Raw genomic sequence first — 21,720 nt, 5'->3', positions numbered from 1 at the left:
TGTGAAAGAGCATGGGCTTTGGGGTCAGTCACACCTAAGTTCCAGTCCCAATCCTGCCATGTATTTATCATGTGAATGAATATAACTTGCCTTTGTGCTAGTTTTCTTTTTTATAAAATGTGGATGATGTTCTCGTGAGGATTAAATTAGGTGGGTATGAGAGTTCCTGACACATAGAAGTCTCCTGGTGAATGATAATTGAATTGGAACCCCATTTGACCTATGCTGCAGTTGCAGGGGGTTGGAGGGTGTTGGTTATTGAACAAGACAAAACCCACCTCTGTTTCCTGCCAGAGAGCTGGGAGGAGGGAGAAAGAAAGAAATGGAGGCAGGAGTCAGATCAACACAGTGGAGACCCACGTGTCATATCAGCTTTATCATTGGTAAAATCTAGGTCAGCAAACAAAGCTTTGGTTTGCAGGCGGGTGGCCTTGTTGATACTCTGCTCTTGAATTAGACACACTCAGGCATTAGTGCCACTGCGCAGCCGCAGCCCCTGGAGCACAGACAGCAGGGACAGGCCCCTTTGCAACATAGGAGAGAGAGGAACAGAGCGGAACCTCTGCTGTCTCTAAGTAGGTAAAAGAGAGGAGAGAAAGGTGTGGTGACTATATGCACACCCCATGCTTTCTGCGAGGGGGCCAGAGGGAGGAGGCTCTGGGAGGAGGCAAGGTGTCATTTGGGGAAGTTGGTTCCCACAGAAACATGAGGATTAGGGAATAAGCATTCCCCCCGGTAGCCCAGGTTCTGTCCAGGTGGAGAAAGACCACCCTTATTGTCTCTCATCAAGTTCTCCCTCCCAAAGGTGGTAGACTGCTTAAAGCCTTTCTTTTTTACTCTTCTGCCCTCCCAGTGCAATGTGCTAGCCTTGGCCTGCTCCTAGGAACATTTTATGTGGAGTATGATCATGGAATTGAAAGAATATGTGTAGAAATACTGCCTTCAGACCTATGAGGCTTTGTTAGTTTGACATAATTAGGAAGCTGTAATTTTTTCCAGAATGTAGAGCTCAGACTTTATTGACCCATTTAATTTTTTTTTAATAATGACATTTTACTAGAGCAGAACAGCATGTAACCTAGATAGCCTGTGGCTAGATCTCTGAATGATTTTAATTAAAAATAATGTCTCCACTTCTGGTAGATGGACTTTTTCCACAATATCCTGGCAACAAAACAATCTGGGAGAAAAAACTTCCTTGGTTTCTGTTGTTCTTACTAATAGAATAACCATACTGTCAATTTTCAATTTAGAAGGTTAATGTATATATATAATGTTTCCTAAAGGAACATTACCTTTTAATTAAATAATCAGTTTTATCAAATTAACCTTTAGACCTTTTCAATTTCACTGAGCTGAGTTTCCATTAAATCAAAATATAGAGTAGGAGGATGTTAATCGAATGTTCTTGGAACTAGTCATTTCTAGGTCTGTTCTGTCTGCAGGGTACATATTCACTGAGTTGGTACCTTTCTGACTCATTTGTCCCTGACCCCGTTAGCCTCTATTTCCGATGAGAAGGTTCCTAGTAGGGATGAACCTAAGGCTTTGGCCCCTCTGCTTGCCACTCTGGCTCCTCCCCAGAGGGGAGCCATTCATCTGGTGTTGGAGGTGGGCTGGGGTTGGGGAGAGGGGATCGAGCTTGCTGGCTTAGCGCCTTTGTCTCACTGTTGGGTCTTCCCTCGGACAGAGTCCATTCTCTCATGGTTGCCATCCCAAGCCTAAGTAACTAATAGAACAAGATCCTAAGGAGCATTGGAATAAGGAACTAATTCCATGTCACTCTTCAAGTTCCACTGAGAGAGGATCATCTATTCCCTAGGAGGCTGGAGGCTGTGGGATTTCTTTTTCCAACTCTTCCTTAGAAAATATGGAAGTGGGGTAGGGGCCGTGGGATAGGGGTGACTCCAAGGGAGGAGAGGATGCTTATCTGGTGATTGGGAGTGAGAAGGACTTCGTGCTCATCTTACCCCTTTCTTTTTTAGAAGGGCCTGTCCTCAGGATGGATGTATTCCCTGTTTGTTTGTGCCTTAAGTTTCCTAGAGAAGGCTTTGGGAGGGGGATGCCTACCTGTCTTGGGGTGGGGGGAAAAATCGGTTTAGGAGGAACTTACTAGGGAGCACAGTCGTAGCTGTGTATCAAGCATATTCTCCAACTCAGGCTCATTCATTGGTTCAGTTCATTCAAAAGTATTTATTACTGATTTATTAATTGATCAGCCTATTAAAAATGCTAGGCATTGCTCTTGATGATGGGGATACAGCAGTGAACAAACAGAAGTCCTTGCCTTTGTGGAACTTACGTTTTTAGAGGGGAGAGACAGGCAAGAAAAGAAATAATTACACAAAATATATGGAATGTTAGAGTGGGGTAAGTATCTTTACGGGGAAGGAAGAAGGGAAGTGGGATAGAAAATGTCAGGGAGGGGACAGTTTATAAAGAAGGATTAGGGAAGGCCTCATTAAGAGGGCAACATGGAGTAAACACCTAAAAGAAGTAAGGGATGCATTGATGCAGCTATCTGGGGAAAGAACATTCCAGAAGGAGGAGACAACCAACACATGTAAAGGTCCTGAGGTGGGAGTGTGCCTGGAATGTTTAGGGAACACCCTCCACCCTCTGATTCAGTCATTTTGTAGTGTGAGACCCTTCAGTAGCTGCGCCATTGTTCTCAAAAGCAGAGCCTACATTCTTTATAAGCCTGGCTTATGCTGTAGCCCTGACTCCACGCTCCTTCTCCCTCTCCCTCTCCCCATCTGGCTTACGTCAGTTGGGTCTATTCCGGAGGATTTTCTACCACACACCCTTCATATGTGTTCTACTATCTATCTAGATGGTTCTCTCACCTTTTCACCTGGCCTGTTCCTCCTCACCCTTCAAGTCTCAGCTTAAATGTCACCTGATCAGGGAGGCCTTTTCTTCTCTTCCCATCCCACTCAGACTATATTATGTTCTCATTTGCTGCTGCCCTTTCCTTTGCTGTCTTTTTTTAGCCATACCATGTCTGAATATGGGAGGATGACAGACACAGAACGAGACCAGATAGACCAGGATGCCCAGATATTCATGAGGACCTGTTCAGAAGCAATTCAGCAACTACGAACAGAAGGTAAAGTGCTCTGAAAGATGCAAACAAGCAACCATGAATATAGCAAGTAGTTAAACAAGATGCATATGGTGCGGCCAGTTAAAATTCCCTCTTCTTATTTCGATTTAGGTTTTAAAACGTTAAAATCTTTTCTTTCTTGATCAATGTTTTAACCAAAGCTGTTAAAAGTACTGCAAAGGCTGTATCATTCAAGTTAAACCAATGAGAGGAGGGAGATGGAAAGGACCTCTCCAAACAGAACCAAAAATATATCTAGGGGCCAGGGGCAGTGAAGACAAATTTGTGTGTGTGTGTGTGTGTGTGTGTGTGCGTGTGTGTGTGTTCTGTGTGGCAAATTGTATGTGTGTGGGTGTGTATGTGTGTATGCACATGTGTGCCTCTGTTCTGTGTGGCATTTAGTGGGATGGGAGTTGACAGCAGCCTGGGGTACTTAAGCTCTACTTGTAATATTCAAGTAAACTTTCCTATCAAACCTTCAAGGTTAGGAGGAAGGCTCTGGAGCCAGGGCTGCTTAGGTTGCACCCCAACTCCACCCGTCCGAGCCATATAGCCCTCTGCAAATCACTTAATCTCCCTGGGCCTTGTTTTTTTGTCTATGAAATGCAGACAATTAGGGAATGTATCTCTAGGGTTGTTATGAGCATTAAGTTAAATTCCTACAGCATGCTTAGAACTGTGTCTGGCACAAGAGCGCTTATTATCTCACTTTCGTTGATGTTTAATTCTCACTGAGACAATGAGATGGCTTCCCAAGTCACGCCTCTTTCTTGATTCTTTTTTAATTTGCTTAGGCATTTACAGAGTACATTAAATAGTAAGTAGAGTTCAAAGCTGCCAGATGCTGTTGTGCTCACAACACAGACTTTTGTTGGGGAGGTTTTTATTAGAATGCTGACGGACCACTTGGAGACTCTGATGGAAGCAATAGGCATTCTTGCCAGAAAAATGTACATACACAAAATTCTATATGCAATTTCACAGAGCTCCTGAGTCCCCCACACAAATCTTGGGTTAAGCAGCCCTATAGTAAGGCAGAAATCATGCCCTCTACCCTTAAGGGCATATACATTCATTGAGAGACCTAAAAAATGCACAGGAATATTTAACAAAACCTACATTTACATATGAAACCATCTAACCTTGGGCTATTTATTGCCTCTGAACCTTAGTTTCTTCACGTGTAAAAATCAGGAAACTCGGAATTGCTATTGTAATTACTAGCAGTACATATGTAAAGTGCTAGCAGAGTACCTGCACGCAGTAGGCACTCAGTCTCTCAGTCAGTGGTCACTATCTTACCAAAACCAGTGGCACAGACTTTAGGTCTGGTAAGGCCTTTTAGCACACTTCTGTGTGGTAGTTCCCAGGAGAAAGGCATCTTTGTGGCTAGGAGTCATAGGTTTCCTGGAGACAGAAAGTTTGACTCATTGTCTAAGGGACCCTTAGAATGTGAGTGGCCAAGGGGAGAGGATGGGGCACTACAGGCTGAAAAGCAGCACAGGTTCAAGCAGGGAGGAGTGTGTGATTTCAGTTGTTTAAACATGTTCGCTGAAGGTCAGCTTGAGCATTGGATGCTGTTAACACAGATGGGGTCAGCACTCAAGAAGTGGCTGCGTCAAATACTATCCTTAAGTGTTCTGATAAACCATAAATTATTTGACTATAGATTTTCTACAGGTTTAATCTTTCACTCTTGCGAAGCCTGATACATCTTACTGTTTTAAAAATGTAGTGTCACTTGGCACAAGACTTGTTTTATAGCTGTGTTTTAAAAAATACTCTCAATAAAGAAAGTGTTGTGAGGAAGCTGATGAATTGCTCTTTAGGATAATTGAGTGCGAAGGCCTGAACATTGTCTTTTTCTGTTACAGCTCACAAGGAGATACATTCCCAGCAAGTGAAGGAGCACAGGACCGCTGTTTTGGATTTCATTGAAGATTACTTGAAAAGTATTTCATTTTCTTTTAAAGGTCAAATGTAACATTTCACAATAGATGTGATGCAGAATTTAGCTTTGCTAGCTGAAGACTGTAGTATCTCATTATATTTAATGATGGCTTTGCCTGAGAAGCTGTTTTAAGCAGTCTCTCTTCTGGTATTTTCTTCTGCAACAGGAGTATGTAAACTTTACTCAGAACAGAGAGCCATCCGAGTTAAAAGAGTGGTGGATAAGAAAAGATTGTAAGTATTGCTTTCATTGGTGTTTCTTAATTAATAATAGTACTACTAATAATAGCAGTTAAAGTTTGTAGAGCACTTACCCTATGCAATGTACCGTGTTTGAACTTCTTCGCAAAATGCCATAGCTGGCGCTACCGGGCACTCACTGTGTGCCAGGCAGCATGCCAGCCACTTTATTGGCCCACAACAAACCCCCATGAGGCAGGTACTGTTTCCTCCCTCATTTTACAAATGAGGAAGTTGAGGCTCAGGAGGCTTGGCCACTCACCCTAGATCCCACAGTCCCACAGGTAGCATAGCTGGGGTTTGAGCCTAGGCTGTTGGTCCAAAATCTGTGCTCTTGCCCATTTTGTCTCTTAACCCGATGAGGCTGGCACATCTTGAGCCATTTTACCTCAATCTCTTTGACCCCCATACCCCTTCTTGTCGTCCCTGAAAGTGTATTCCTGAGAGAAGAGCGAGGGCACAACAAGCAGGCCACCACAAGGCTGTCCTCAGGTCACCTGTGACAGACTTGCTCGATGCCACATGCTCTGAGTGCACACCTCCCTCCAACCCCACTACCTGTCCCATGCAGGCACTATTAGGAGCCCTGTCAGCAGGTAAGGACGCTGACGCTCCAGCAGGGTAAATGACTCATCCAAGGCCACAGGAAGCAGGAGGGCCAGGCTCCTGTATTTTCCATGGCGCCTGCCTGGTTTCCCCTCTGGGCTCACATGAGCATCTGGAATGCAAGAGCTGTGTCCTCACAGTCGTTCCCGCTGCAACTCAGCCAGTCTTGGAGATGGAATACATCAGTGAGCAAGTATCCAAACCTGGACCATTTCTAGACTAGCTTTAGAAAGGTTTTAGGATGTTCTTTCAGAAGATAACATCACATAACTGTTTGGGGACACATTTTCTTTTTTGTTTTTTTTTGTTTTTTTTGTTTTTGAGACAGGGTCTCACCCTGTCTCCCAGGATGGAGTGCAGTGGCACGACCTCCTGGGCTCAAACAATCCTCCCACTTTAGCCTTCCGAGTAGCTGGGATTACAGGCATGTGCTACCATGTCTGCCTATTTTTTAATTTTATTTTATAAGGGTGGGATGTCACTATGTTGCCCAGGCTGCTGTCAAACTCCTGGGCTCAGGCAATCCCCCTGCCTCCCAAAGTGCTGGACTACAGGCGTGAGCCACCATGTCTGGCCCACATTTTTTAAATTCTTACTGTGTCAGGGGTCCCCAGCACTACTCTCTGGTTCTAGGATTCACTAAGAGGTCTCATGGGACTCAACATACAGTCCTGCTCCTGGCTATGATTTGTCACACTGAAAGGATACGAAGCAAAACAGCAAAGGAAAAGGCATGTGGGACAAAAGTCCAGAGGAAACCAGGCATGAGCTTCTAAGAGTACTCTCCCAGTGGAGTCACACAGCATGTGACCTATGACAACACGTGAAGTGTTGTCTACCAGGGAAGCTCATTAGTAACTCATTGCCCAAGGATTCTGTTAGGGGCTGGTCACATAGGCACCTCACACCTGGCATCTACCGAAACTCTAGACTCCCAGGAGGAAAGCAGGTGCTCAGCACTGAACTGCATTCAAACCGCATGTTTTGCAAAACAGTTCAGGCACGGCGAGCTGTTTTTATCAATTAGGATGGCATGAACTCTGCCAAAGTCCAACTTCTCAGATGCCAGGCAAGGGTTAACCTTGCAAGCAGGCCTTTCTAAGGATAGCAGCCTCAGGCCTACTACATGAACCCTTTTCTGCACATTTGTGAAACAGATGTGAAATTGTTAATGCCAACAAATAGAAGCATTTGTGGAAGATAGTAAGCAGATCAGTCAAGTTATCTGTCAGCAACAGCTACTATTATATAATGCACTGAGAGGGTAGCTTGAGAGAAGCCATAGATTAAGTCTTTGTGCTTAGAGAGCTTAGAAGCAGGCTGGGTTGCTATTAAACATGAAAAATTAGTCAGCTTAATCAGGATATGTCATAATTAGTGAAATCGGTAGTAAGCTCAGAGGGGGAAATGGTACGATCAAGTGGCATAGTATAATGCCTAAGAGCCAGACTCTGCAACCAGACAGCCTGTGTTTGAATCCTGGCTCTGCCACTTTCAAACTGTGTGACTTTGAGCAGGTTGCTTAACTTTTCTGGGCTTTTGTTTCCTTACCTATAAAATGGGAAAACTCATAGTACCTAACTTGTAGTGCTGTTGTGAGAACAAAATGAAGATACAGATAAAACACTTACAGTGAGTTAATAAATGTTAATTTGTACTATTATCTACCACTAAGCATTTACCATGTGCCAGGCAGTATATTATTTTATTTCATTAATCCTCAAAAAGCCACCATATCTTTAAATATTAGTATTTCATTTTCTAAATTAGGATATTGGGGCTCAGCAAATTTGGGTTAGCTGTCCAGCATCACAGCTGAATCAAGATTTGAATCTCAGGGTAATTGGAGCAGATTTCTCAAGCAATGGGGTTTGTGTTGGCTGTCAAAAGAAAAATATCTGGGTGTGTGAATTAGAGAGATAGAAAGCAGTCCAGACTTGGGGAAGAGTTTGAACTGAAGATCTGGGACACGATGAGACCAGTTAGCTCCAAGACATTACGGAGAAGGAGGTAGGCCTCTGATGATGCGTGATTTGTCATCAAGATGGTGTGGTGGTCACTGGGTCTCACACTCACCAGGGAGAGGAATGCGGATTTCTCCTTCACTATCCCAAGTGGACTTCACAGGTACCCAAGTAAAGTAAGAAGAGATTTTTGCTGCTACCTTAGTTCTTGTTTCTCAGCAGAGGCCTTGACTAAAATACAAATTAATATCAGTCAGATGGGAATTGTTCTCATTTAGACAGCGAAGTATAGCCTTGTCTCCTGCCACATAGTTAGCTGCCCTGTGCCAATTACTTTGCACAAAAGACCTTGAGGGAAATAATGATGTGACCCTTCACAATGTAGTTCAGCACCCTCCTTCTTGTCCTTTCCTCATCTTTAGGCAGAAGGCATCTGCCTAAAACGTACATGTGATTTTATCACTCCCTTGCTTCCATGTCTTACAAAGGCTAGACAGCATGGCATGTGCCTGGACAACAGCCACAGTAACTCACCACAGTAGTGTGACAACTCCTGAGCTTGTCTATACTCTGTCCAGCGAAATGAGACCACTGATTAAATGGCAGTGTCATTTATGCTATGTTTCTAGATGCTTACTCTTCATTTTTGTACTTATCTTGTAGCAGACCAGTAACAAACAGTCCATGGTCTGGTTCTGTTCCATGGACCACACTTGGAGTAGCACTGGGTTAGAAAGTCACCTAGTATGTAGTGTATGCCCAGTAAATATCTGTTCAGTGAGTGAGTAGTGGTGAAGGTGGCTTCATTGAGGTAGTGTGAAGCATCTCCTGCTTTGGGGGTCCACGGTACCTGTGCCTGAGTGGACACATTTGTCTGAAAGCTAGTTTTAAAATTATAGTACTATGATATTATATATCAAAAATATCTTCTTTCTACCCAGAGCCTTTGCTGGAGGCATAAAAGAAGGACAGGCGTACCTCGGAGATATCACAGGTGTGGTTCCAGACAGCAACAAAGTGAATATCACAATAAAGCAAGTCACAAAGACATTTTGGTTTCCCAGTGCATATAAAAGCTATGTTTATACTATAAAGTGTGCAATAACATTATGTCTAAAAAAAATCATGTGCATACCTTAATCAGAACATACTTTATTGCTGAAAGTGCTAATGTTTGTCTGAGCCTTAGGTGAGTTGTAATCTTTTTGTTGGTAGAGGGCCTTGCCTCAGTGTTGATGGCTACTGACTGATTGAGGGTGGGGGTTGCTGAAGGTTGGGGTGGTTGTGGCAGTTTTTAAAATAAGACAACAATGAAGTTTGCTGCATCAACTGAGTCTTCCTTTCACAAAAGGTTTCTCTATTGTGTGCAGTGCTGTTTGATAGCATTTTACCCATAGCAGAACTTCTTTCAAAATTTGAGTCAGTCCTCTCAAACCCTGTTGCTGCTTTGTCAACCAAGTTTATGCAATATTCTAAGCCCTTCCTTGTTATTTCAACAATGTTCACAGTCTCTTCACCAAGAGCAGATTCCATCTCAAGAAACCGCTTTCTTGGTTCATCCATAATAAGCAGCTTCTATCCATTCAAGTGTGATCGTGAGATTGCAGCAGCTCAGCCGCATCTTCAGTCTCCACTTCCAATCTTAGTTCTCTGGCTGTTTCCACCACATCTCCAGTGACTTCCTCCACTGAAGTCTTGAACCCCTCAAAGTTATTCAGGAAGGTTGGAATCCACTTCTTCCAAACTCCTGTTAAAGTTGATATTTTGACCTCCTCCCATGAATCACGAATGTTCTTAATGGCGTCTAAGATGGTGAAACCTTTTCAGAAGGTTTTCAATTTACTTTACCCAGATCTGCCAGAGGAATCACTATCTATAGCAGCTATAGCCTATGAAATGTGAGGTTTTTTGGTTTGTTTTGAGTTGGGGTCTCACTCTGCCACCCGGGCTGGAGTGCAGTGGCAGTCATGGCTTACTGCAGCCTTGAACTCCTGGGCTCAAGCAGTCCTCCCACCTTAGCCTCTCGAGTAGCTGGGACTACAGGCATGTGCCACCATGCCCAAGATTTTTGGAATGGTAAATGAGCATCGGCTTCAGCTTAAAATCATCTGCTGCATTAGCCCTTAACAAGAAAGTCACCCTATCCTTTGAAGCATTGAAGTCAGCCATTGACTTCTCCTCTGTAGCTATGGAAGTCCTAAATGGCATCTACCTCCAATTCCAATAGAAGGCTGTTTTATGTAAATTGAAAATCTGTTGTTTAGTATAGCCACTTTGATCAATTATCTGAGTTAGATCTTCTGGATAACTTATTGCGGCTTCTGTGTCAGCACTTGCTAATTCACCTTGTACTTTTACATTATGGAATCGACTTCTTTTTTTAAATGTCATGAACCAACCTCTGCTGCCTTCCAACTTTTCTTTTGCAGCTTCCTCACCTTTCTTAGCCTTCACAGAATCGAAGAGAGTTAGGGCCTTGCGCTGAATTAGGCTTTGGCTTAAGGGAATGTTGTGACTGATTTGATCTCTCCAGACCACTCACACTTTCTCCCATCGGCAATAAGGCTGTTTTGCTTTCTTATCATTTGGATATTCACTGGAGTAGCACTTTAATTTCCTTTAGTAACTTTTCCTTTGCATTCACAACTTGGCTAACTCTTCGGCACAAGAGGTCTAACTTTTAGCCTGTCTCAGCTTTTGACCTGCCTTCTAACTAAGATTCATAATTTCTAGCTTTTGACTTCAAGTGAGTGATACGCAACTCTTCTTTCACTTGAACACTTAGAGGCCGCTGCTGGGTTATTCATTGGCCTGTGTTATGTCTCTAGGAATAGGACGGCCCGAGGAGAGGGAGAGAGAGGAGAAAATGGGAACAACTGGGCCGGGGAGCAGTCAGAGCACACACAACACTTATGAAGTACGCTGTCTTATGTGAACGTGCTTTGTGGCACTCCAAAACAGTTACAAAAGTCACATCAGAGATTACTGATCACAGATCAGAAATATAATAATAATGAAAAAGTTTGAAGTATTTTGAGAATTACCAAAATGTGACAGAGACACAAAGTGAGAACATGCTGTTGGAAACATGGCATCAATAGATTTACTCCATGCAGTGTTGCCACATACCCTCCATTTGTAAAAACAAACAAAAAATGCAATATCTGCAGAGTGCAATAAAGCAAGGCATACTGAAACAAGGTACGGCTGTATAAGAGCCACGCTGAAATCTGAAACAATTACTTTTGTCTAATAATTATAGCAGGCTGTATTTAAGGTTTGCAAAAACTTCCCACATATTTTCTTGTTTCAAAACTGAAAAAATCTGTCTCTCTTCTGTCTCTTTATGTTCTCTTTAAATTTTAAATAAAATCCTGAGGGTTTTCAAGCAAGGGACCTGGAAGCAGATGCTGGCCAGGTAGAAACTGTTGATTGCATTTCTGAAATGTTCAGCCTTCAGTCAGAGAAATCAGTTTAAATAAATCATGGGGCATAAACTGATCTTTCTGATGGCTTTTTAAAAATTGCTTTCTTTCCCCCAAATTGGCTTCAACTAGTTAATTTGTAATTTCCCTGGGGACTTTAGTAGACATTCTGTATATAGTTAGAATCTGTTTTTATCACTTAAGAAAAGAAAGGCACTCAACTTTGTCTAAGTCTGCTGCACTGTAGTCTTTAATTCCTTTTAAATTGGAAACTTGTACATTAGCATCCTCTGGACACAAAGGATGACAGACATTAAAGGAGTCCTTTATTTTAAAAGTCAGTGAAGCCCTTTGACTTCCTGAAGAAGTCAGTCCTGAAGCCATGCAGTGAGGCAGGGGTAAGGTGGGCGTCTGCAGTCGTGGGGAGCAGCAGTTTTCCAGGGCAGGGAGGAGAGGGTGGCTTAGCATGGGCAGTCATAGCCTAAGCCAGGAGAGGGACTGATCCGTGCTGGAGAGGGATGGAGAGGGGTGGTAGAGGCGGGTGGTTACATTTAGGAGAATAGATCAAATAATAAATACAGAAGGAGGCTGGATGTAGTGGCTCACGCCTGTAATCCTAGCACTTTAGGAGGCCAAGGTGGGTGGATTGCTTGAGGCCGGGAGTTCGGGACCAGCCTGGGCAATATGGCAAAACCCCGTCTCTACTAAAACAAAAATTAGCATGACCTATAGTCCTAGCCATGTGGGAGGCTGAGGCACCAGAATCACTTGACTCGGGAGGTGCAGGTTGCAGTGAGCTGATATTGAGCCACTGCACTCCAGCCTGAGCAACAGAGCGAGACACTGTCTCTAAATAAATAAAGGAGGATATTGAAAGCTAGGTTTCTCACTATAGGAGAAGTGAAAGGGGAAAAGCCCTGTCTGTGGTCTTGGGTGGAAATGAAAGATTGGCACGAATTCACGGTTTTCAATTTCCAAAGATCAATACAGAAGTAACTATGGTTGTAAATGTGTACGTATGTACACATTTATACGCGTGTATGAAAATGCATGCATATATTTTCTTGCTCTGGCCACTGAGGAGGCCTGGAAACAGTGACACTGTAATAGCAATAAGCGTAGTTAGCACTCAGATCTTGTCTTCTAAATACCAACTTCACCTTCAGGGAGCCAGGCCTCTTAGGGAAATGGCTGATTCTTAAACTGGAGCAGGGAACATATAAACCTGGAACAAGGAAGGGCTCAGAATGTTAGGACGTGTCTAAAGGACACAGCCATCAATTTGAAGCGGTGTCTACTGGCCAAATTAGAGATAACTTAAGCATAAAAATAAATGGCAGTAGCACATTATAACACATTCAATGAGATAGGACATTATGAATCCATCTAAATAGGAATAAATAAATGAATAAATTGAAAGATTGAAATTGATACATAGTGTCAAAGCACTGCTCCCCCTGGTACTTACTAATTACAAAGGGGAAGAGAATAACTTGACAGTGGGGAAGCCTAGCAGTCACCACCTTCATCAAGTGGGCAAAGGGAAATCACACACAACCTAATAGGATGCAGCAAGAAGAAAGCATCACTTTTGTGATTTCTGCCAAAGAAGCATGACTTGAATCCAACCGCGAGGAAACATCAAACTCAAATTCAGAGATCTCTTACAGAATAAGTGACACATTATTGTGTGTTGAGGCCGTGAAACTCAAGGAGAGACTGAAGAGCTGTTCCAAACAAGGAGACTGAAGAGAAGTACTAGTTAGGAGCAGTGTGTGATGCTGTTGTTATAAAGGATATTACTGAGATAACTGGTCAAAATAGAGTGGGGTGGGGGGGTGCCGTGCACAGTGGCTCACACCTATAATCCCAGCACTTTGGGAGGCCGAGGTGGGAGGGAGGATTGCTTGAGGCCAGGAGTTTAAGACCAACCCGGGCAATATAGTGAGATCCCATCTCTACAAAAAATTTAAAAATTAGCTGGGTGTGGTGACATGCACCTGTAGTCCCAGCTTCTCAGGAGGCAGAGGTGGGAGGATCGCTTAAGCCCAGGAGTTCAAGGCTGCAGTGAGCTATGATCACAACACTACACTCTAGCCTGGACAACAGAGTGAGACCTTATCTCAAAAAAAAAAAAAAAAAAAAAAGAATGGGGTCCAAGGGAGAAATGGAAGTAATGTAATAATATTTTTCATAACTTTTTTTTTGGTCTACTGCTTTTTTAGTGTTTGCAACAACTCTAGTAGTAGATATTGTTGGAAGGATATTGGAAGCCAGGTTTCTCACTCAGAAAAATGAAAGGGATAAAGCCAGAATGAACCCTGTGGTGTTGGGTTGGAATGAAAGATACTGAAAGCCATTTTACAGTTAAGAAAACCAAGGCCTAGAGGTTAGGTGGTAAACCAGGGGAGCACCTACTGTGTGCCAGGCTTCATGCCAGGCACTTTCTCATGGGTGATCTCATTTAATCTTTGAAAGAACTCTTTGAGAAAGATAGTATTTTCTCCATGTTGCAGATGAAGAAAACTTAGACAAAGAGGATAAAATTGGCTGGGCGCGGTGGCTCATGCCTGTAATCCCAGCACTTTGGGAGGCCGAGGCAGGTGGATCACTTGAGATCAGGAGTTTGAGACCAGCCTGGTCAACATGGCAAAACCCCACCTCCACTAAAAATACAAAAATTAGCTGGGTGTAGTGGTGCACTCCTGTAATTCCAGCTACTCGGGAGGCTGAGGCACAAGAATCGTTTGAGCCTGGAAGGTAGAGGTTGTGGTGAGTTGAGATCGTGCCACTGCACTCCAACCTGGGTGATGGAGTGAGACTCTGTCAAAAAAAAAAAGCATAAAATAAAACCCATCCAAGGCCACACTAAAAATAAGTGGCATTCTAGAATTTAAGCCCTTTGTTGGCTCCAAATCCCATTGTAAATGTGTCTTTTTCAAGGCAGTCAGTAAACCAGTGGTTTAAGGAGTCTCATCTCCAGACTGCCATGGGATTTACAGAATTGCTGGAGTAACCTGACAGCCAAGACAGCGTGGGAGGGCATCAGGTCAGTCTGGTGTGCAGTGTGGCCAAGGAGAAAGCCCCCTACCACTCGAGTAGCCTTTGGCCACCACCCTAGGCCACTGCCCTGCTACTCTGTCAAGGCTCCTTCAGTCCTTCCCCCTTCACAGTGACATTCAGAAGATCAGCAGCTAGTTGGGCCAGCACTGAAGACCCTGCTAAGTCCCTTGTACAGATTGTACAAGTATACTCTTTTCTCTGAATTATTTGCATTATTTATGGGTTGGTTCAGCAGTTTTCTTCTGTTCCTCCATCGGTCTGCATCTTGTCAGAGGAAAAAAATGTATATTGCTTTAAGACTTCACAAAAAAAATTGTCTTATTAACCATTCTGCCTTTTGTTATTTCACAGTAATAATAGCAGCAGCAGCAGTAGTGTAATCGTTGTAGTAATAGCTAATTTTTTGAGCTCTTACTATGTGATGTAGACTGTGCTGAGTTAGCACTTACATATAAAGCAGTAACTCTAACAAGAAAGATAGTCAGAGCCCCATTTTTTTTTTTTTTTTTTTTTTTTTTTTTTTTTTTTTTTTTTGTGAGACGGAGTCTCGCTCTGTCGCCCAGGCTGGAGTGCAGTGGCGCGATCTCGGCTCACTGCAAGCTCCGCCTCCCGGGTTCACGCCATTCTCCTGCCTCAGCCTCCCGAGTAGCTGGGACTACAGGCGCCCGCTACCACGCCCGGCTAATTTTTTGTATTTTTTTAGTAGAGACGGGGTTTCACCGTGTTAGCCAGGATGGTCTCGATCTCCTGACCTCGTGATCCGCCCGCCTCGGCCTCGCAAAGTGCTGGGATTACAGGCGTGAGCCACCGCGCCCGGCCCAGAGCCCCATTTTATAGGTGGGAAAACAGGCTAAGAAATTTTGCTATTTGTCATTTAGTAACTGGAAAAAAAAATCTGAAAATTCTGGCAGATGAGTATCTTGTCAAGCTAGTTTGAAAATTTGCTAATGTGTCAGGTTGCTCAATTCCTACATCCCAAAACTAATATTTGAGGTAAAATATTAAGTCATAGATGCTAAATTTAATAATCATATGTGTATACCTAGTGTCAAACATGGAGCAGATCCTCAGTTTATCTTTAAATAGGTTTCTCTTTTAGGTTTTTAACTGGCTTTTCCTTTGCTTAACACATTTATTTTTGAGACTTACCCTTGCTATGTTCTTCTTCATTGCTGAATGGTATTGCATTGCATGAAAGTAACCCCACTGGCTTATCCATCCTGTTGGTGGACATTTAGGTGTTCCCATTTTTTTGGCTATGATGGATAAGGCTGCTGTAAACATTCTTTTATAGGCCTTTGTGTGGATCTATCTTTTCATTTCTTTTGGGTAAACAACTAAAAGTGGGTTGTCATAGTAGAGATGTTTCTTAGACTTAGTAAGAAACTGTCTTAAGTTTTCCAGAGTGATAACACCATTTGACACACTGTCCAGCAATGTATGAAAGTTACAGTTCCTCCACATGGCAGGATTTGGCATTGGCCATTTTTTCTAGCCATTCTACTGGATGTGGAGTGGTATTTCATTGTGGGTTTAGTTTGCATTTCCTCACTGACTAATATTGTTAATCACCTTTTCATGTGTTGATTGACTATTCATTTTCTTCCTGTGAAGTATCTGTTCAAGTCTTTTACTCATTTCTGTATTAGAGGATTGTTTGGCTGTTGATTTGTATAGGAGTTCTTTGTATATTCTGCATACATATCCTTATATACATGCTGCAAATATTTTTTCCTATTCTGTGGTTTATTTATTTTCTTAATGGTGTCTCTTGGTGAGCAGAAATGCTTAATTTTGAGGAAGTTGAATTTTATTAATTTTTACTTTGTCTACCCCAAGGTCACTAAGATATTATTTTATGTTTTCTTCTAGAAGCTTTATGATTCTGGGTGGTATGTTTAGGTCTATCATCTGTCTCAGACCAACTTTTTGATAGGATGAAATGGGGTTGAGGTTTATTTTATTCTATATAATAACTGGGGTTGAGGTTTATTTTATTGTATATAAATATCTATTTATTATATCAATGTTTGTTTAAAACACTTTCTTTTTCTCATTGAATTGACCTGGCATCGTCATCAAAAGTCAGTTGACCCAAACATGTATATGTCTGTTTCTGGACTCTATTCAGTATCATTGGTCTGATTGTCCTTATGCTACTGCCACACTGTCTTGATTACTGTGGTTTTATCATAAGTCTTGGAATCAGCTAGTTGTAAATCCTTCAAATTTCTAAATTTTCAGTATTGTTTTTGCTATTTTAGATTTTTTGTATATTTCCATATCAATTTTAGAATCAGCTTTTCGGTTTCTTCAGAAAATCTGCTAGAATGTTTATAGGGATTATGTTGAATTTATAGATCAATTTGGGGAGAATGGACATCTTAACATCTATCCACAAACATAGTATATCTTTGCATTTATTTCTGTCTTCCACTTTATTTTTAAATTTCTTTTTCTCAGCAATATTTTGTTATTTTCAGTGTAGACATCTTGCTCATCTTTTGTTAGATTTATTCCTGGATTTTTTTTTTATTCTATTGTAAACGATACCATTTTGTTAATGTTATTTTCCAGTTTCTCGTTGCTAGTATATAGAAATACAATTAATTTTTGTATATTGACCTGTCTACAACTTTGATTAATTCACATGTAGTTCTAGTAGCTTTTTTTGTAAATTCTTTTCTTTTTTTTTGTTTTTTGTTTTTGTTGTTGTTGTTGAGACGTAGTTTCGTTCTTGTTGCCCAGGCTAGAGTGCAGTCGCTCGATCTTGGCTCACTGCAACCTCCACCTCCCGAGTTCAAGCAATTCTCCTGCCTCAGCCTCCTGAGTAGCTGGGATTACAGGCGCCCACCACCATGCCCGGCTGATTTTTGTATTTTAGTAGAGATAAGGTTTCACCTCGTTGGCCAGGCTGTTCTTGAACTCCTGACCTCACCTCAGGTGATCCACCTGCCTCGGCCTCCTAAAGTGCTGGGATTACAGGCATGAGCCACTGCACGTGACCTTTTTATTGTAAATTCTATCAATTTTCTACATACATAATCATACCATATGTGAATAACAGTAGTTTTGCTTTTTAATCTTTATGCCTTTTATTTCTTGTTCCTTTCTTGTTTTATTGCACTGGCTAGGGCCTGGACCTCTGGTACCATGTTGAATAGAAGTGGTTAGGATGGACATCTTTTCCTTGCTCTTGATTAAGGGACAAGGATTTAATACTTCACCATTAAGTATGAAGTGTTGGGATTATAGGCATGAGCCACTGCACCCAGCGCACCCATGTTTGTTTATTTGTTTGTTAGTTTGTTTTCATATTTGTGGTTCATTTTTTTATGTGTATATCACAGAAGTAGGTATTATGTAGCTGTTCTTTATCAGGTTAAGGAAATTTCCTTTCTTATTGAGGGATTTGCTAGAAGAACTCATGGAACTCAGAAACACTATTATACTCATAGTTACAGTATATTATAGTGAAAGAATACAGATTAAAATCACCAAAGCTAAAAGGCACATAGGGCAAACTCCAGGAGAGATCAGGTACAAGCTTCTAGCTGTCCTCTCCCAGTGGAATAGTGTAGACAGCACTTAATTCTTCCAATATGTGTCTCCCAATACCTGTGTCACCATGTATTGTCAATCAGGGAAGCTCACCTGAGCCTTGGTGTTCAGGGTTTTCATTGGGGGTCAGTGATGTAGATGTGAAGTGCTAGCATAGCAGGCCGTAGTTAACTCAGTCTCCAGCCCCTCCAGAGGTCAAACTGATGGTCATGCCAGACCCCTGTTAACTTCAGTAGGGATGGCACTTGGTTCAAAGAGGCTGAAGAAGAGACCCCGAGCCAACAAACAAAACAGAGTTTATTTGGGGGAACTTATTTATAGAGCAGTCCAGTGGCAGTGGGCTGGACAGGAGAACCACTACTGCTTGTAAAAAGAATGTAGTTTGTATACACCTTCACTTAGCCACCCTCCCGCCAAACAACCTCCACATGGCAGCCCTCATTACTTAAATTGCCATCAAGTGTGTCTGCCATGCACTGATACAGTGGCCCAAGGCCCCCAGTCATAAATCACTCTGTTAGCATAAACTATCTGGAATGCCCCCAGGTATACAAAGATACTCTCATCAGACAAGACGTACTAGGAGCTTAGAGGTTATCTCCCAGGAGCCAAGCAAGGGCCAGTTTTTTCCTTGGAATGTGCAGAATTTGAACACCACAAACCTGCTGAGTCATCCCTTTACTGCATACCTTATTTTCCTAGTTTGCTGAAAGTTTTTATCATCAGAGGATCTTGACTTTTTCAAATGCTTTTTCTACATCTAATGCAATGATCATATAGGCTTTTTTCTTTTTTTGTTAAGGGGGTGTATTACATTGATCGATTTTCAAATGTTAAACCAACTTTGTATTCCTGGGTTAAACCTCATTTGGTCATGATACATTATTGTCTTTACATATTGCTAAAATCAGTTTGTTTGTATTAAGGATGCTTTTATGTTCATGAAGATATGTGTCTAATTTTCTCTTCTTGTAATACCTTCATAGGTTTCTGAATCTGGGTAATACTGGCCTCATAAAATGATTTTGTAATTGTTTTCTCTTCCTCTGTTGTTCAGATCTACTGGGTCCTTACGTTGTTCCTCATCCTAGGGAAAACACTTAGGCTTTCATCATAAAGTATGATGCTAACTGTAGATTTTGTACGTGTTTATCAGATTAAGGAATATCCCTTCTATACATGCTTTTCCCCATCTTGTTTGATTGCTCTAGAGCAGTGTATAAAGGTATACATTCTATTTTACAGCTCCATAGTACTGCAGAGTGTCTTCCACCAGTTCCATGTTGATGGACATGTGGATTTTTTCCTAGGCCTTTGCCATATTAAAATTGAATTACGAAATTGCTATAATTAATAACTTTTTCATATTATTGTTATATCTTTGGGATAGAGTCCCATAAGTGGGATTGCTGGATTAGAGATTAAATACATGTTAATTTGCAGGATATTACCAAGGTCCCCTCCATAGGAGTCACACTGTTTGGTACTCTCACCATCAATATACGGAAGTGCCTACTTCACAGCCTGACCTACCCAGTATGTCTTCACATTTGGGTATTTTCACCAGTCCCAGTAGGCAAGAAATAATGACGCAGTGTAGTTGTTAATATGCATCATCTTCTTATGAGGAAGATTGAGCATTTTTCATGTGTTTAAAAGCCATTTGCATTTGTGTGAACTTTCTTGCCTAGTTTACTGTAGGGCTGTTGGTCTTTTTCTCTGTCTGCTTTACCTATGGTGGGGCTTTTTTTTTTTTTTTTTTAATAAACTTGTTATTTTAAGAGCAGTTTTACGTTCATAGCAAAATTGAGCAGAAAGTACCAAGAGTTCCCATATACCTCTTTCACTGTCCTCCCCACCCGCCAATACACTAATAGCCTTCACCACCAATAGCCATCAACATGCCCCACCACTCATGGTGCTTTGTTTCGTTTGTTTTGTTTTGTTTTGATACGGACTCTCGTTCTTTCGCCCAGGCTGGAGTGCAGTGGGTGATCTCGGCTCACTGCAAACCTCCACCTCCCAGGCGTAAGCAATTCTCCCACCTCAGCCTCCTGAGTAGCTGGGACTACAGGTGCGTGCCACCACGCCCGGCTAATTTTTGTATTTTTAGTAGAGACAGGCTTTCACCATGTTGGCCAGGCTGGGCTTAGACCTCAAGTGATTCGCCCTCCTCGGCCTCCCAAAGTGCTGGGATTACAGGAGTGAGCCACCGCACCCAGTTCACCCATGTTTTTTTTTTCATATGTGTGGTTCATTTTTTTATGTGTATATCTCTGATGCATTTGGAATTTACCTTGGTGTACAGTGTAGGGAGAGGGAAAACATTTATTCTTTCATATAACTACCGATTATCCCAGTGCAACTTATTAAACCATATCATATATTAAATACATATATGCAGTTGAGTCTGGTTTTGAATTTTATATCCTATTCATTGGTCTGTCAATCTTTTCATGCTCTAATACCACACTTGGTTTTTTAGGGTTATCTTGGCTATTATTGCCTCCCCTTCCTAATCTCCATGATATTTTCACTATAAACCTTTTCAAACATATGGCAGAATTGAATTTTACAGTGAACACCCATATACCTATACCCTAGATTCGAGCATTTACATTTTACCATACTTGCTTCTTTTACCTGCCTATCATTCCATATGCATTTAGTCTCTTTTTAAAATAGATTTCAGAGTAAACTGCAAACAGTGCCCTTCCCCTTCAATACTTTAGTATGCATATCATTAACTAGAGTTCAATATTTATTTACAGTTTTTCTGACCATTCTTGCTTATTTCCAGATGAATTTCATAGTTGATTTTTCCGGCTTCAGGATGGGACCTGGTGATGTTTTTTTATTGGGATCACATTACATTTATAAATTAACTTAGGGAGAACCAACATCTTTATATTTCTTTTTCTATCCAAGAATGATGTGTCCTTTCCTTTGTGTCTTTCAGGAATCTTTTTTGGTTTTTTACGTATGGGCTTTGGGCTTAAGTTTATTCTAAAGTTTTTGTTGATATTGTTAGTTTTTTATCTTTTGTTTTGTTTTGGCTATTGCAAGTAGAATCTTCTCTTTCATTATATCTTCCAACTGTAAATGAGGTACATTATCATGAACATTTAAGTCATTTTGTTGTTGTTATAAGCAGTTTTGTGGTGAATATCCTTATAACTTTACCTTTGTGCATATTTGTGATACTTAGAATAGCAGATTATATTTTCCAAAGAAAGCTGCCCCCAAATAGATCCCATACCACATGCTCTTCTTAAAAAGTGATGTTACTGCTCCATTGAGAAAGCAAATTGGAGTCTGTGTTTCTTCCCCTTGAACTCCAGTGGACCATCGTGAATGTGTTGGGCAGTAGAATATGGCCAGAATTATGATTTCTGACTTCTAAGGCTAGGTCATGAAAGGCACTGAAGCTTCCACCAAAGTCTTTAAGACTGCCAGCCCTGCAGGCAGCCAGCTGCCATGCACCAGTAACACACTCATGCAGCTCCATGAAGAAGAAATGAGGCTCCCAGCAAGCACCAACTTGCTAGCCATGTGTGTGGCCTCCTTGGAAGTGAACCCTCCAGCCCTGGTCAGCCCTTCAGATGACTGCAGCCCTAGTTGCCTTCTAACTGCACCCTCCTGAGACACACAGAGCCAGAACCACCCAGCCAAGGTGTTCCCAAATTCCTGACCCCAGAAGCAGTGATCAGTAATAAATCTCACTGTTTCAAGGCACTAAGTTTTATGACTCAGCTGTAGTAACCAGAACAATTAAAAAGATTGATAACAGTGACTTTTGAAAAAA

At 41.8% G+C, this 21,720-nt stretch overlaps 1 protein-coding gene across 5 annotated transcripts in view; it reads left to right on the top strand.

Annotated features, from left to right (window-relative positions):
• STX18 (syntaxin 18) overlaps positions 1-21,720 on the top strand; it is a 123,376-nt gene that overhangs the window by 79,863 nt on the left and 21,793 nt on the right. For 3 of the 5 annotated variants that reach the window (NR_144414.2, NM_001346282.2, NM_016930.4), the window contains exons 3-5: positions 2,994-3,109; positions 4,981-5,058; positions 5,224-5,290. Coding sequence is in view for 4 of the 5 variants with exons in the window: in NM_016930.4 (NP_058626.1) it covers positions 2,994-3,109; positions 4,981-5,058; positions 5,224-5,290 (261 nt within the window). In the remaining variant the exon portion in view is untranslated. Of the gene's footprint in view, positions 1-508; positions 576-2,993; positions 3,110-4,980; positions 5,059-5,223; positions 5,291-8,807; positions 8,861-21,720 lie in introns of those variants that run through there. The other 2 variants (NM_001346281.2, NM_001346300.2) reach the window with 2 other exon arrangements.

The sequence above is a fragment of the Homo sapiens genome, chromosome 4 (genome assembly GCF_000001405.40).
Source record: "Homo sapiens chromosome 4, GRCh38.p14 Primary Assembly".
NCBI classification, from domain to species: domain Eukaryota; kingdom Metazoa; phylum Chordata; class Mammalia; order Primates; family Hominidae; genus Homo; species Homo sapiens.
Note: the sequence above shows the minus strand (reverse complement) of the source record. Positions and strands in the feature narration are given on the sequence as shown.